At 41.0% G+C, this 17,310-nt stretch overlaps 1 protein-coding gene across 3 annotated transcripts in view, besides 1 other annotated feature; it reads right to left on the reverse strand.

Moving 5' to 3' along the window:
* Positions 1-2,924: 2,924 nt before the first annotated feature.
* SSR1 (signal sequence receptor subunit 1) overlaps positions 2,925-17,310 on the reverse strand; it is a 32,057-nt gene continuing 17,671 nt past the window's right edge. For all 3 annotated transcript variants that reach the window (NR_120448.2, NM_001292008.2, NM_003144.5), the window contains 2 exons: positions 17,174-17,267; positions 2,925-11,713 (listed from right to left, as the gene is read on the reverse strand). Coding sequence is in view for 2 of the 3 variants with exons in the window: in NM_001292008.2 (NP_001278937.1) it covers positions 11,646-11,713; positions 17,174-17,267 (162 nt within the window). In the remaining variant the exon portion in view is untranslated. The remainder of the gene's footprint in view (positions 11,714-17,173; positions 17,268-17,310) is intronic.
* Positions 3,524-3,724: a silencer, noted in NCBI's record as "peak5642 fragment used in MPRA reporter construct". NCBI's record gives its function as "represses an SCP1 promoter by STARR-seq MPRAs in K562 erythroleukemia cells {active_cell/tissue: K562}" and the evidence as "EXISTENCE:reporter gene assay evidence [ECO:0000049][PMID:32103011]".

A 17,310-nucleotide genomic window follows, 5' to 3' on the forward strand; every position in this document is an offset into this window, starting at 1 on the left:
CCACGTGTGTCAGGTCCTGTTTTAAGACTTGGTGAGCTGGTGACAAAATTCTTGCTGTCATAAGCTTACATTCACAAGGGGTGATGGGCAATGGAAGGACAAGGTAACTTCTGTGTGTGTGTGTGTGTGTGTGTGTGTGTGTGAGAGAGAGAGAGAGAGAGAGAGAGAGAGTCTGTCTCGCTCTGTCGCCCAGGCTGAGAGACAGAGAGACTTGCTCTGTCGCCCAGGCTGCAGTGCAGTGGCATGATCTCGGCTCACTGCAACCTCTGCCTCCCGGGTTCAAGTGATTCTCCTGCCTCAGCTTTCCAAGTAGCTGGGATTACAGGTGCGCGCCACACCTGGCTAATTTTTGTATTTTTAGTAGACACAGGGTTTCACCATGTTGGCCAGGTTGGTCTCGAACTCCTGACCTCAAGTGATCTGCCCACCTCAGCCTCCCAAAGTGCTGGGATTACAGGTGTGAGCCACTGCGGCCAGCCCAAGGTAACTTCTGATAGTGGTGAAGATAATGAGAACAGAGCAGGGTGTGTGGGGCCTTCCATGAGGGGAGTTTTCAGGAAGACTAAGAGCAGGGAAGATGGGGGCTGAGACCTGGGCAGAGGGGATTACTGCCAAGGCCCTGATCCTGGACAAGCCTGGCAGGGTAGAAGATGAGGAGGTGGCTGGCCAGGAAGCCTGGAGGGCAGCACAGGAAGGGGCAAGGCAGGGAGGGCGAGATACTGGAGAGCCCTGCAGGCAGTGGTGGAGCACTTGTGCTCACCTAGATGCCAGTGGAAGCCAGAGGAGAGTTTCCAGAAGAGAAGAGTCAGGATCTGATAGAGTGGCTTGGACTCTTGTGGGCATAAAGCCCGAGAGGCAAGGGGGTGGGGCAGGAGTGGCTGCACTGAGCACTGGCCTGGCACCAACTCGGCAGCAGAGAGGAGCTCATGTTTTTACAAACAGCAAAGAGAAAGGCTGAGTCCCTGAAAAGGAGAAATACTTTCAAGGGTTTTCTATTAAGAATCTATCTTGGGGCCGGGTGCGGTGGCTCACGCCTGTAATCCCAGCACTTTGGGGGGCCAAGGTGGGTGGATCACGAGGTCAGGAGATCGAGACCATCCTGGCTAACACGGTGAAACCCCGTCTCTACTAAAAATACAAAAAATTAGGCGGGTGTGGTGGCGGGCACCTGTAGTCCCAGCTACTCGGGAGGCTGAGACAGGAGAATGGGGTGAACCCGGGAGGCGGAGCTTGCAGTGAACCGAGATCACGCCACTGCACTCCAGCCTGGATGACAGAGCAAGACTCTGTGTCAAAAAAACAAAAACAAAAAAAGACTCTTATCTTGGGCTGGGCGCGGTGGCTCACACCTGTAATCCCAGCACTTTGGGAGGCCTAGGCAGGTGGATCATCTGAGGTTGGGAGTTCAAAACCAGCCTGACCAACATGGTGAAACCCCGTCTCTATTAAAAATACAAAAATTAGCTGGGCGTGGTGGCACATTCCTGTAATACCAGCTACTAAGGAAGCTGAGGCAGAATAATCGCTTGAACCCGGGAGGCGGAGGTTGCAGTGAGCCAAGATTGCGCCATTGCACTCCAGCTGCGCAACAGAGTGAGACACCGTTTAAAAAAAAAAAAAAAAGAATATCTTGATTTTCTTTCACTATGTAGTGACAATGCATCCAAGTTTTAAAAAGTGGCTCCGTTTCTTTTGGGGCCACAAATAAGCTATCCACAACCACTGGATTTATTATACTCATTGTAGGAGGCTCAGATAAATTTCACATTTGCATTTATTGCTTCCATTATAAAATATAGGCTCATTACAAACATTCTGAAGAAGAAAAAAAAAGTCCACTATCCTAACCAAAAACGGCTTTAGCATTTTGGTGTATTTCTCTTCAGACTTTGGATTAATCCAAAGTTTAATACTGAATGTTTCAAGCATTGCAGAGAAGACGTAATGCTGGTTCTTACTGCCCTAATATATTTTTTCCTAACTCCCCAAGCTTGTTATGCTCTAGTATTTTTTATTCTTCAAAGCATTTTTTCCTCTCAGCAGAAAAAGCTAAAAACATTATTATCTGGTAACAAAGACTGATTCTCCAGAGTTTGCACAGCCTCTAATTAAAAGTTACTTTTTCTATGAAGAACACTTTAATTCTACTGCTTAGAATACAATCTTGAAGGGAAAGAAATCTTAGGTGCTACTGACTTACTGGCTGGGTATACAGATGAGAAAATTACATCAAAGATCCATCTCGGCTTCCTTAGAAATGTTTAATAAGCGATCAGAGTATGCAGTCTGTGCAATTATTGGGAATGGAAAGTCAGTATGGGAGTGTGGATGGGGTAGACCTTACTTACTCATATACCTGCGTGAGGGGGAGTGTCTTTATGATCATCATCTGAAAAGCCAACTAGCTGACAGCCCAAGAGTGCCTGTAAAACCAATCTTAAATCACCTTTATTCTAAAACATCACTGAAATGTCTAAAAATGTGTGAACTTTTTTTTTTTTGAGACGGAAGCACCCAGGCTGAAGTGCAGTGGCGTGATCTCAGCTTACTGCAACCTCTGCCTCCCGGGTTCAAGTGATTCTCCTGCCTCAGCCTCATGAGTAGCTGGGATTACAGGCGCGTGCCACCACGCCCAGCTAATTTTTGTATTTTTAGTAGAGACGAGGTTTCACCATATTGGTCAAGGTAGTCTTGAACTCCTGACCTTGTGATCCATCCACCTCAGCCTCCCAAAGTGCTGGGATTACAGGCGTGAGCCACCGTGCCCGGCCAAACTTTTAAATAATTTCCAGGAGGACATTCCGATCAAAATTGTGATTTTTTTTCTTTTCTTTTTTTGCTTCTATTTTGGATTCCTCGTGCGTCTTGAGACCAAGCAGGAATATGCACTGGTACTTTAGAAAACATTTCATGTTGCACACAAATACTTTCATGATCAGCTTTAATTTAAGGGACATGTAAATAAAAAGATGCATTTGACAGGACAGCAGACTAGTTCAAGCAGGAGGTTAGACCAGTAACAACAACCAAGAAAGCAAAGTGCTCGTTTCCATCTTGGCTTTACCACACTTACAAACTGATACCCAAATAACAGAAATGTTTCTCAAAGCTGCACAAGAATTTTAAGGATTCATGACCCCACTTTCATTAAATAGTCCCAGAAGATAGCTAAATAACATTTTCAGATAGAACCTCACACTGCATAAGTTTCATAACAAACAAACCTAAGATATGCTGACAGAAATCACATTGAGTTTGCAAGCACTCAAATAGAAAACCCAAGACCTCCGGCAACAAATTAGAAAATATGAACAGAAATATTTTAAACCACAAGTATTTCATCCCAACTAAATTCCAATTTCTTCAATGTTCTCTGAGTTGTTAGATTTCAAAGTGAAGAGAACTGAAATCTCTTTTTATTCATAGCAGAGCCAAAACTGGAAGTCACTTATTAAATACCTGTGTACAAAACACCATACTTGGGGCTATATGCGATTTCAGGTTGGATAAACGAGTCATGTTGAATGACAAAAAGTTAGACTGGGGAGATTTATGGAGAGAAGCAAGCACCTGTGATTTGTTGGTTTGGCGTTACAATAAACACTGTAAGTGAAAATGAGTCACAGGCAGTTAGAATGGCGTTAAGGAAACCATTTAGGTCTAAAAATCAGGACTGAAGTGATCAACAGTTAACAGATGAAGCCATGAGAACTGGCACGCTCTGGAAAGGCTGGTGCAGAGAGCAGGACGGTGAGCCTGAGTGAGCCTGGAGTTAGTCAACAGATTCCTCAACAGAAAAGGAGTGAGGAGCAGGGTCAAAGAAATGAAGGTGAATTTGGGGGGTGGTGGTCAATGGGTTAAACGTACAAGTTGAGGCCGAGGAACTGAGGCTGAAGAAGGTTCTGGCAAGTGGAGAACCATGAGATCCTGACAGAGCAGGCTTTTGTGGGCAGAAGCCATATTAGAAGAAGAGCTAAAGGAAAGCTGAAAACCTGGCGACGAAAAGGAAGCCAAGAACATAGGAGATATTTTGACAAAACGGAAAAACAACAGAACAGGAAGTGAGGCAGGAGAACCACAGAGATGGAAGCCAGGAGGTGTCCAATTAGACGGGCACAAGAGAAAAACAGCCAGAGACCGAGAAAACGGCGGGAAGGAAAGGTTCCATCTGGAGAAAAAAGCCTCTCAAGACTGGAAGGGACAGGAGCTGGTGACCATGAAGCAGTTCAGACTCAGCTCTGAGCCCCTTGTGTGGACCACAAGCAGCACTGCAAAGTCCTCGCTGTAGAGAGAAGACCATAGATGCACACAGACGGGGTTATCCCTTGAAACCAGATCCGGGAAGCCATCAGTCAAAAAGCCTGTGTGGTCACAGATGCTTACTGGTGGTTCCTGAAATGAGTATTTCTAGGCAGGGGGCTTCAGTATAAACCAGATGTGTGCTAGCTGGGTGGACTTCAAGTAAGGAGTCAAGACAAAACACTTAGAGTGACCTTTTGGCCACTGCTGTGTCTGCAGGCTCAGCCTCCTCTAGATCTGATTCCCACAGTGGAGGGACAAAGGGCCAGCAGCTTGTAGGACCAAATGAGAAAAATACATAATCATTATGTTTTAGCCAGAAAAAGGCAACTTGATTATGAACTGGATGACATATCAAATGCAAGGCCTTAAAATGCATTCACTCTAATAAACTGCTCTGTAGAATTCAAGGGAATGAAATCCGCTTCTCATACGTACCAAGGACCAACTGCTTTGAATCTTCCACTGTGGATGATGGCAACTGGTCCTTTTAGGAGAGCCATTTTCCAGACAGTCTTGTCTTTATTTATTTATTTTTTAATTGTTAGTAGCTTTTACTTATTATTTATGTACTTATTTTTTGAGACAGTCTCACTCTGTCACCCAGGCTGGAGTGCAGTGGTGCAACCTTGACTCACTACAACCTCCTCCTCCTGGGTTCAAGTGATTCTCCTGCCTCAGCCTCATGAGTAGCTGGGATTACAGGCGTGCACCACCTCGCTCGGCTAATTGTTTTTGTTCTTTTTTGAGATGGAGTCTCGTTCTATCTCCCAGGCTGGAGTGCAGTGGCACGATCTCAGCTCACCACAATCTCCACCTCCCAGGTTTAAGCAATTCTCCTGCCTCAGCCTCCCAAGTAGCTGGGATTACAGGCATGCACCACCACACCTGGCTAATTTTTGTATTTTTAGTAGAGGCGAGGTTTCACTATGTTCGCCAGGATGGTCTTGAACTCCTGACCTCAGGTGTTCTGCCCACCTTGGCCTCCCAAAGTGTTGGGATTACAGGTGTGAGCCACCGTGCCCGGCCTTTTTGTATTTTTTAGTAGAGATGGGGTTTCACCATGTTGGCCAGGCTGGTCTTGAACTCCTGACCTAAAGTGATCCACCCACCTCAGCCTCCCAAAGTGCTGGAATTACAGGAGTGAGCCACCATGCCCTGCCCAGTCTTTATAAATGAAGCTTGACTCTGGACTGTGATAGCAGAAACAAATACAGGCAGTGCCTCAGAGAATACAAAATATCAAGCAAATCCTAAGTGTTGAAGCTAGAACCCAGGTGAGTGCACTCTGCATTACTGAGAATGTGCTCCCTGCCAAAAGGCTCCTACCCTATTCCAACCAAGCCGGAAATGGCAACAGACCAAACGTGAGGAGTGAGTGCCTCTGTGCTCCTTGAGGCTGTTTCATTACAGATAACAAGGTTACCTAGGGCAGTTGTGAAGATGAAATGAGGATGTGTGTGGAAGGGCAGAGCAGATGCTTGATGTTCTCCATCTGAACACTACTCTTGACCACAGTATTTCTCATTCTCCTTTCTGAAATGCCTCTAGGCCTTAAGCGCCTATTTCTATAAATGTTGGGTGATCAGACCAATATGGTTTCTGAAAAAACTGTTCAGAAATAGACTAATTTTCTTTGGGTGGTTCAGTCTGATGCTGAAATAAATTGCAAGATGATTTTCAAAAATAACATGAACCCCAACAGCTTCACTGAGAAATATGGAGCCTCTTCAAACGTGTTTTTAAAAAGAACTGGATGTGCAGGTGTAAGAGATTTATTACAAAACAAAAACTCCCCTTGCCAGCCTTATTACTCTGGCTCATCATTAAAATCCAGTGCTAGCCATATTACATGCCCATCTTAAAACTTTTATCCTTTAGTTACAAAAAGAATACTATGTAGCTTACATATTCAGAATTTACCTACTACCCCACCACATCAAAGTCCATAAGGTACCATATACTCTTCCCCGCCCCATGCTTCATGGGATGTTATTACAGTATGGTGCTTTACAGCGAAAATGAGAGCAGTCACTTAAGCGGCTTACTGAGACCCAGGCAATGTTCTAAGCAGCTACACACAGTAACTCCTAACAACCTTAGGAGGCAGGAACCAAAAGCTGAAGCATCATACAACTTGCCTCCAACTAAGAGGGGATCTGGGGTTCAAACCCAGGCAGCCTGACATGAGCGTTTCCTTTTTTTTTTTTTCTCTTTTGCTAAGTAAAAAGTAGGTTTAAGGGAAGAATCATTTATAGTAACACTGAATTAAGTAAGGGTTTGTAGGTCACAGAATCAGACTATTTAGGGCTGATACTTCAAGCATATCTCAATTAACAAAAAAGCACATTGAGACTCCAAGGATGAACTGCCTTTGCTTAGTGGCCAGGGCACTGTCAAGACCCAGAGGTCTCCTAATTCCCACGCTAGCACACCATACCACCCCTTTGTTCAACCTCACAGAATTGCCAATACTAGCGTATCACCAGGAATACTTACGAACCATACTAACTCACATGGAAGAATGGCAAATGAAAACTGGCCCACATTTTCTTGTTCCTTCTTCAAAGAGTAATAGGGTTCTACCTAATTGTGAACTAGAAGCTGGGGATGAAAAACAAGCCAGATACAGAGCTCACAGTCCAGAAGGAGATGTCAACAAGATGACAGGCTGCCATGGGTACTGACAGAAGTCTACATAAGGGACAGCAGGGGAACAAAAAAAGGCACAGTCAAAACATCTTTGACTGCAATTTGGAGACTTTAAACAAGGATTATCCTTTCTACAGGCATACTGAATTTTCTTTTTAATGCCTCACTGTGCCTATTAAGCAAAATCCGTAATACAACACACCAGACAGAAGCCTTACCCTGTGAGCCGGGCGCAGTGGCTCACGCCTGTAAGCCTGACACTTTGTGAGGCCAAGGTGGGTGAATCACTTGAGCTCAGGAGTTCGAGACCAGCCTGGCAACATGGTGAAACCCCGTCTCTACCAAAAACAAAACAAAAACATTAGCCAGGCCTGTGGTGTGCGCCTGTGGTCCCAAATACTTGGAAAGCTGAAGCAGGAGAATCGCTTGAGCCCAAGAGGCAGAGGCTGCCGTGAGCTGAGATCATGCCACTGCATTCCAGCCTGGGCAATACAGTGAGACCCCATGTCAAAAAAAAAAAGAAAAAGAAAAAGAAAAAAGATAAAAGCAGCTTTACCCTGTAATCTTAGTTCTAGTACTATCTGGTTCTGTAACCCAAGAGCAGATACTTCACTCTTACCTTTAACGTGAAGATTTATCTTTCAATCCTTTAGAGCTTGAAAATGCAATCAACCCATGAAAATGTTTTTAAAGACCATGATTCTGTTCATCAAGGAGACATTTAAAGGTATGTCATTAACAGAAATTTAAAAGGGTATTGTGGGTAACTGAATTATCATAGATACAATACAGCAAGTATATATGGTATATTCATTACTGAGATGATTTGAACTTTCCATATTCAATATGGAACCTTGAGCAAGCTACTTAAATTCAGGTTTTGTCTATTCCATCTACAAAATGGGAACAGTATCACCTTCCTTCAGTGAGCTGTCGTAAAGGTGTGTGATATGATGACTAGAAAACAAACAGAACACAGCACGTGATTGATGTTTAATAAATGAGTTCCCTTCCCCCTTTCTTAAACTGCAGCAAAGTGGTACCCAAACCTAAGAGCTATTATCCCTAAATTTCAAAATCTAAAAAAAAAACCTTAGAACCTCAGATGATATAATTAACATAAAAGCCCAGGTTTTTGTATAAATGAAAAGGGATAAAAATTCATACAAAATCCATTAGTAACATTCATAAGCACCCGAAATAAATTATTTAGATGTTTGCAAGTCAGCTGCAAGGTGTTCTTCCTCCTCAAATATCCTCTAAGGATGAGCTTATAGACAGATTAACTTAACAACGAAACCTAACATTCCACCAGTAAGAATCTTGTTTGTGTGTGAAGCTGCTTTTTACTAAGTTGGAGGTAAGAGCTCAAAGTAGAGTTTTACTTAAGAAAATTGGGGCAAACATTGATTTTAGTTCTACAGCTATAAAATGATGCCATTCAAAAAGTGAACAGTGGGCCGGGCACAGTGGCTCACGCCTGTAATCCCAGCACACTTTGGGAGGCCAAGGCAGGCGTATCACCTGTGGTCAGGAGTTCAAGACCAGCCTGGCCAAATGACGAAACCCCGTCTCTACTAAAAATGCAAAAATTAGGCAGGTGCGGTGACGGGCGCCTGTAATCCAAGCTACTCAGGAGGCTGAGACAGGGAGAACTGCTTGAACCCAAGAGGCAGAAGTTGCAGTGAGCCGAGATCGCACCACTGCACTCCAGCCTGGGTGACACAGAGACTCCGTCTCAGGGGGCAAAAAAAAAAAAAAAAAAAAAAGTACTATGGAAGTACTTAAGTACATCTGAAAATGTTTTTAAATTTAAACATCTAATTTAGGAACTAAAATACAGGGTCTAGTCTTGGCAAGAGATGGTATGTGTCACTGAGTTTTAAAAAATTATTTCAGTATTCAAATGCACAAACCAAGTCAATTTTCCTTCATATCAAGGGTATGGATATCATTGTACAAGATGAATGCTATATATGAGGCTCGCCTATTACTATATTGATCTACTGTACCTCGAAAATAACACATCATTAAGTAAAGGTGGCAATGTTACATTACCACCATTTACTTCTCCCCAGCACAGCCATGATACAGTTCTAGGCTGATGTGCCACAAATGCACTTTTAAGGCAGTAGTTCTTCCATATTTTTTAAGGTCTAAATTTGCCCTTTCCTCTTATCAAAATCACATTTTCTGAAGGTACTTGAAGTTAAAAACCTTATTACTATCAAGTGAAGCTTCTTTTCTTCTGATTTCTACTTTACTCCTTCCCTGAGGCTTCTACTTCTGAGGTCCCATTTCCTTTTCCTCTCCTGGGACAATGCTTTAGAGGGCAGATTAGCCCTGAAAGTCACCAGCTATGTAAGACCATGAAGTAAATGAGGAAGCTATACAACCAAAGCGAGATCCATGCTTTATGAACACATTATTCTCACACATCCGGGGATAGGTTTGATACACAAGATCCTTAAAGTCATTTTACATATTCTGAAACCAAGTTGTTCAAAAGATGAATTCTGAAAACATAGTTGGTGTAGCAAATGAATATATCAAAACAAAGAAAAACTTCATCCAAATATTTACATTTTAAAAAGACATTTAAAAAATAGGCTACTTATTAAGTGTGCTTGAACAAACCATGTGTGGAATTGAATTCCATTCATTACGGAGTTAGTTTCTGCTAAATACTTACTGATGCTAGAGCAGACCCCTGGCATCTGAGGATTTAAGAGTTCAACTGTTCTCAATCTATGCTAAAAAAAAAAAAATGACAAATAATAAATTCTACATTTCCGAGGCACTAATTTGAACTTCAGAAGTGGGAGGGCTGATATGTAAGGCAAGTTATTTAGGAATGAGGAGGGCTGACAGCTGTAACTCAGTGTGGTTTTGCAGCTGCCTACGTTAGTACCAGGTATTCCATAAAACTCTGTAGAGGCCATTTACATTTCGTAAATTCTGTAATTACACCTTACTGTATCATGCCCTAGTAGTTTCACAAACTTAGATATTCACAAAAATGTTTTGGAATATATTCCTTGGGAATGTGAAGGGTCTCCTATATTACATTAAACAAAAAACCATGCAGTTACTTAGAGCTCATAGAGCTTTCTCAAAATCAACTACTGATCATAACAGCCCAATTAAAAACTCAAACACTTTATATTACAGATATAGAGTTTATAATCCAGCAATGCCAATATAGGTAATTTGATAGCCCCTATTTGCAAAGTGATTAACAATTATACAATAACTTCTATCTGCTTTGGCTCAGATGTTTAAATACTTAAACAGTTTGGAAAGACTTTTTTCTGTGTGTATTTCGTTTTGTTTTTTTGTCTGTGTGGGCATGAGCATAGGGGAGGTTATACTGAAAAGGAGAATGAAGAGGTCAGGAATTAAAGAGCCACTAAAATTTGACTTAACATTTTCTTATAAAATACATGTAGGAGAATATGGCTTAAAGACAAGAGGGGGAGAGCCTCTTAATTGTTCATACTATTTTACTTCACCCTCCATCCAGTCTGACAATAATGCCAAACTTAATTTACAATCTAGGGCAAGAGTAACTCTATAAGAGGATTTTATGAAGTACAATTTAATTTTGGTTCCAGTCTCAAGCACTTAAGAACAATTTTTGGAATCTTTCAGGTTAACTAAAAAGGTTATATCAACAAGCAAAACTCCCAAAAGATTAGGTAAGAAAAAATTAGTTAACTGCTTTAAAAATATCCAACTCACTTTCTTCATTGATTAGGAGTAACTGGGAAATATCTCTGTCCTGATAACTTGGTTTTCTGCTTAGTGTGTGGACCAAGGCAACTTCTCTTTAAAAAGGATGCTTCTATTAAGGAGAGAAAAATTCTCTCTCAAAACAAAACAAAAAAACCTACACACAACTGAGTGAGTAGGTCTAAAATCACTCCAGAGCTACCTCTGGGTCAGAACTAGAGCAACAATGGACAACACAACACAATTTTCACAAATGTACTAGTTTCTTTTTGTTAAAAAAGGGGGTAGGATTAGGTTTCATATATTAAAGTCAGCAGAAATTTCATGTTTCACAATTTGTTGCCAGAGAGATCCCCAAATTCCTTGAAGCCACTGGGAAGTTTTCTGAAGATGCGCATTAAACAGCAGCAAAATACTGAAACAATTCTATTGCTAAAAAGCAGCTACTTCTGCTTCTGCCTTTAGAATACTAATTGTAATACAGTAACAACAACAAAATGCTGATTTGTGCCATCAATTGAAATTTGAGCTATTCCAAAAATTGTTTTCTTTAAAACTGTTCAAGGCAGGACATCAATAATCATAGTGGGTAAATATTAACTGAGTTTTGGGGGAAAAAATCAGAAAATGTCAAAAAGGAAGAGACAACAGCATTATATTTAGTATTCTAAAGACTTGTTTCAGGTAGTTCAACAATGATTCTGGTAAGACCAACTGCTCACATACATACACACGCACACACATAGATTTTAATGGTTTAAAAAAAAACCAAATTTGTTACTTTAGAAAAATGAATGCAGTGCATTTTCAGCAATATTATCGCCACAGACTCTGATTGCTCAGTCCACACACAAGTAGGAGTTGCCTTCTATGGTGACATGGCTTCTCTGCACTAATTCCCATCAGGCCGAAAAATATTAGGGCAGGTTAAGTAAAGACCGAATTGTTGCACAAAGGAACATTTACTCATCAGATCCCACTGATCTCTTCTGTGCCCGTTTCCTGGGCAACCTTCTTGGTGAAGCTTTATCTGGAAGAAAAGAGAAAGTTTTAAGCTTGCCTATTATAAGTATATTGAATTCAAAAGACATGTTAAAAAGTATTTACCTTCAACTTTACCACTAAGTTACACACACACATGGGTGAACACCATCTAATAATGAATGCCTCCTATCTAGCTCTAGGTTTTAAAAACAATCTTTAACATAATCCTTCAAGAGGTAACCCCAATTAAAATGAAAGTGTTTTGCAATTAGGGTGGGTAAGAGATTTAAACTTGGTTATTGTACTGCTGAAGACACCATGCAAAATCTTCAATTCTATAACTTAACCAAGTTTATACATGCATAAGTAAACGCTTAAAAACTGCTGATTTTGTATTTACAAATGCAGTCATGCAGTTTGCATAATTTTTCAATTTCATAAATTTACCTGGAATAAGCAGCAGAATAAAGGAAATCAGTATTTCAATGCTAAAACAATTCTATGCACACAAGCTGTATCTCCCATATGTTTGTTAGATTCTCAGTAGGGTCTATTTAACAGAAAATACATTTGTGGTGGGTTTTTCTACTTCCATTTGGTAAGAGGTGTCATTTATAAGTTTCCTCAACCAGTGAAAGGCTGGATGTATGTACCTTCCCTCTATTATTGTCTTGTCTTACTTTCTGGGGGGTACTTTACATATTAGGAAGATTTTAGAATAAGTTAGAAATTACTTGTATAATTGTTTTTGTATTGATTTTGATTGATTTTGCATTCATTGATTTCGTATTGTTTTTTTTTGGTATGTTTGTATACTGTAGAATAAGTTAGAAATAAAAATCATTTTTTCCAGTTAAAAAAAGTGAAGGGCTAGAAAGTGATTTTCACCAAAGCATGGGGCTTATCTGTAAGCATTTCATAAAATGGAAAAAAAAAATCTGTTCAAAAGATCTCTCACCCCCCAAATTATGAGATCACCATGCCTAGAAAATGAGTAAATGTTTATCAAGAATATTTATTTTTTTTGAGACAGAGTCTCACTCTGTCGCCCAGGCTGGAGTGCAGTGCCACGATCTCCGCTCTCCACCTCCTGGGTTTAAGCGATTTTCGTGCCTCAGCCTCCCAAGTAGCTGGGATTACAGGCACACACTATCACACCTGGCCCAGCCAAGAATATTTAAAGACTACACATTTTTCAAAGAAATCTCCTTAAGATTAAGGGCTAAGGCCAGGCACAGTGGCTCATGCCTGTAATCCCAGCACTTTGGGAGGCTGAGGCAGGCAGATCATTTGAGGTCAGGAGTTCAAGACCAGCCCAGCCTGGCCAACATGATGAAATCCCATCTCTACTAAACTATAAAAATTAGCCAGGTGTGGCAGTACACGCCTGTGATCTCAGCTACTTGGAAGGCTGAGGCAGGAGAATCACTTGAACCGAGGGGCCGGAGGTTGCAGTGAGCCGAGATCACACCACTGCACTGCAGCCTGGGCAACAGAGCAAGACTCCGTGTCTCAGAAAAATAAAAAAAGTTAAGGGCTAAAATATTAAGACAGAGCCTACATATCACAGGAAAACTGCCCTCACTTTTCAAGTGTGAAAAAAACCCAGAAAACTGCTCTCACTACTTCATTAAGTAGGTTACTAATAGATGGTTTCAGGGGCTCTTCAACTTACCTAAAACTGAGCTGTGAGTACAGACAAATGTTTCTGATGAAGAAAGTCTACAACTTTTATCAGATTTTCAAAAAGGTTAGACTAGGAACTACTGCCCTTACAGACAACCAATCTCTAAATAAAACTTTTTCAAATAAGCAGTATGCTGAACATAGTCTTTTGAGGATTCAAAAAGTACTCTAGGATTTAACAGCCATCTGTGTGAGCATCACTGTTATATGCAGATGTGAGCTGGGCATGGTGGCTCACACCTATAATCCCAGCACTTTGGGCGGCTGAGGTAGACAGATCACTTGAGCCCGTAAGTTCAAGACCAGCCTGGGCAACATGGTGAAACCCCCTCCCTACAACAAATATAAAAATTCAGCTGGGCATGGTGGTGTGCGTCTGTAGTCCCAGTTATTTGGGAGGCTGAGGTGGGCGGATTGAGCCCAGGAGGTCGAGGATGCAGTGAGCCATGATCACGTAACTGCACTCCAGCCTGGGTGACAGAGTGAGATCCTGTCTCAAAAGAAAAAAAAACAGATGTGTAGCTCCCATGACTTGAGCTACCACTGATGCTATATGTCCCAATGTTTCCAAATCTTGATTCACTTGTGCTCTGAAACAGAACTTTCAAATGTTTCCTGGACATCCTTATCTGGGAGTCCCAAAGGTTTTTCACACTCAGCATAGCTAATCCAAACACATCTCTCCTCATCCTTCCATGCTTCTCTTTCCTAGATTATGGGACATTAATGGGATCAGCTTTCACCCAGTTGCCTAAGTTCAGAATGCTCTTTCATTCCTCCCTCACTAACACATCCAGTCATAAAAAACCCCATCTACTCCACCTGTGAAACATCCTTCTACTCCCTTTTACTCCTATCACCACTGCCTCTGCTTAGGCCCCAGTGACTTCTGTGCTTTACTGAAATCGCGGAACTGGTAACCCTGCTTCCAGCAGCTCCTTTGCAGTCCTCCACAAAGTGATCCTAATTTTTCCTTTCTTTTCTTTTTTTTCTCTTAGAGATGGGAGACTTGCTATGTGGCCGAGGCTGGATTCGAACTTCTGGGCTCAAGCGATCCTCCTGCCTTAACATTTCCAGTAGCTGAGACTACATGTGCACACCACCATGCCCAGCTTACCATAATTTTTAAAACACAATTGTAATTCCTCTCCTTTAAAGTGGCTCTTTGACCTAGGAGTCAAAAGTTGTTAGCATAGCTCATAAAACCTTAAAGACTCCTTCTCACCCAACCTTTCAAGACTCGGGTCTAGTGCTGACCTCCTCCTGTGCTCTTGTTACTTTGAACCCACCTTTCATAAAGCAACTGCTATACTGCAATATGACAGCTAGCTCACAGAAAGAGACAGCTAGCTCACAGAAAGCAGTAGAGAAAACAATTTAAAAATGGAAAAGGACCTGAACAGCCAATTCACAGGAAAAGAAACCCTAGCCAATACAGTCATCTCTATTATCTGCAGGAAATTAGTTCCAGGACTACTCCCCCACGGCAACCCCACCCAAATCCAGGCATACTGAAGTTCCGCTGTCAGCACTGAGGAACCGGTGGATACAAAAAGCCTTCCCTGTACTTAGGTTTGGTATCCTGCAAAAACTGTGATTTCCTTTTTTTTTTTTTAATAGATTTTATTTTACTATTATTTCACTAGTTTTGAGGGACAGATGGTGTTTGGCTACATGGGTAAGTTCTTTAGTGGTGACTTCTGAGACTCTGGCGCATCCATCACCCAAGCTGTGTATACGATAACCCATGTGTAGTCTTTTATCCCTCACCCCCCTCCTACCCTTCCCCGAGTCCCAAAAGTCCATTATATCATTCTTATGCCTCTGCGTCCTCAGAGCTTAGCTCCTCAATGATTTCCTTTCCTCCCCACCCCCACCTTTTCTTTTGAGACAGAGTCTCACTGTCACCCAGGCTGGAGTGCAGTGGCACCATCATGGAGCAATCACGGACCTACCAGGCTCAAGCAATCCTCCCACCTCAGCCTAGGCGCACGTCAACACATGTATTTTTTTTTCATTCTTTGTAGAGATGGGGTCTCACTATGTTGCCAAGGCTAGTCTCAAACTCCTGGGCTCAGGCGATCCTCCTGCCTCAGCCTCCCAAAGTGCTGGGATTACAGGTGTGAACCACCACGCCTGGCCAAATATTGTATTTTTTATCTGCTTTTGGTTGCAGATGTGGAACCCACCAATATACCGAGGGTCAATTATATTGAAAAAATCTGTATATAAAGTGAAACCCAAGCAGTTCAAACCTGTGTCTTTCAAGGGTCAACTATGAATATGTATAAAGGAGCTGAACCTCATTCTTAAAGAAATGCAAATGAAACAGTAAGACACTCATTTTATATCATACCGACAGATTAAATAGGCAATATTGTGCATGGTTGAGAACATAAATTGGCACTACCTTTTTTTCCCCTTTTAGGAGGGAAATGGGGTCCCTTCCATAAAAATTCAGTGTATTTAATCTTAGACCTAGTTACTCTACCTTTAAGAAGTTATCCTATAAATTTATATATAAGAATATTCATTACAGTATCATCTGTAGGAGTGAAAAAATAAAAGTAACCAATATCCTTCCAATACAGAACAGGTTTAATCTATCATGACATACATATATATATAAAATAATATTGTCTAGTTGTAAAAAAACAGTTTAGTAAATATTTATGTAGTTACTACAAAGAGACATCCAAGGTATGAAAACTGAAGTTGTAGACAGCATGATGCAATCTGAACTAAATACTCACATAAAAACAATAGGCGTATATGCTTATAGATATATAGAAATTAATGGAAAATATAAACATAATACCATTTATGAAAAATAGGGCCGGGCGTGGTGGCTCACGCCTGTAATCCCAGGACTTTGGGAGGCCGAGGCTAGCGGATCACTTGAGGTCAGGAGGTCGAAGCCAGCCAGGCCAACATGGTGAAACCCTGTCTCTACTAAAAATACAAAAAAAATTAGCCGGGCGTGGTGGCACGTGCCTGTAATCCCAGCTACTTGGGAAGCTGAGGCAGGAGAATCACTCGAACCCAGGAGGCGGAGGTAGCAGTGAGCCAAGACCATGCCACTGCACTCCAGCCTGGGCGACAGAGCAAGATTCCATCTCAAATAAATAAATAAATAAATAAATAAATAGGATTAATGAAGTCAGGAATTGACTTATTTTTTTCACTTCTGTACTATTTAATTTTTTATAATGAGGCTGCATTGGTTTTATAATAAACATTTTTAAAATGTCCTACAATTGAAGAAACATTTCTATATTCTTTTATAAAGGTTAGTATTTTAACTGAATATGTAATAAAACTGAAATGTATCTGTAAAATAAATTGTCGGGTAATATTTTAGGTTTATTCTTTCAAGTTATACTGGGTAGTTTTTCTAATAAAATGTAGTAAGAAAAATTGTTCCATTACTCATTAAACTTGACGTAAAATATTTACGTGCTATTTGAGAGCCCCCAATTCTCTAGCAAAAACCATTAAAAAAATTAAATGCCTCACCTCTTCTACTCTGCACTGAAGCAACAGAAAGAAAAGAGACAGGAAATGGATTAGGAACACAGAAAATTCACACATTCATAAATAAGCTGCAGATCTGGAAGAATTTCCAAATTAAAGCATAAGAAGACTACACACTGAATAAACCTTTAAGGTCTTAATTAATCACTATACTAGATTCTACACAAGTAATGGAAAAGATGAATGTTAAATAGTACTGAAAAAGTTTTTTTTTTAAACTAAATCTAAGGTATTTAATTTCCACTTAAGAGAAAAACTTCCCAGCCAAGTCTGTAAGACTACTTACTGATTTGATTCAATGTTTCCTGAGGAATCCAACTCATGTCAACATCATTCTGACTTGATGTACCCATTTCTACTTTCTGTATGGGTCTCTTACGCTAAAAGAACATAAAGACATATTTTAAAGGAGTTCCGTTACAC

The sequence above is a fragment of the Homo sapiens genome, chromosome 6 (assembly GCF_000001405.40).
Source record: "Homo sapiens chromosome 6, GRCh38.p14 Primary Assembly".
In the NCBI taxonomy this organism is placed as follows: Eukaryota; Metazoa; Chordata; class Mammalia; order Primates; family Hominidae; genus Homo; species Homo sapiens.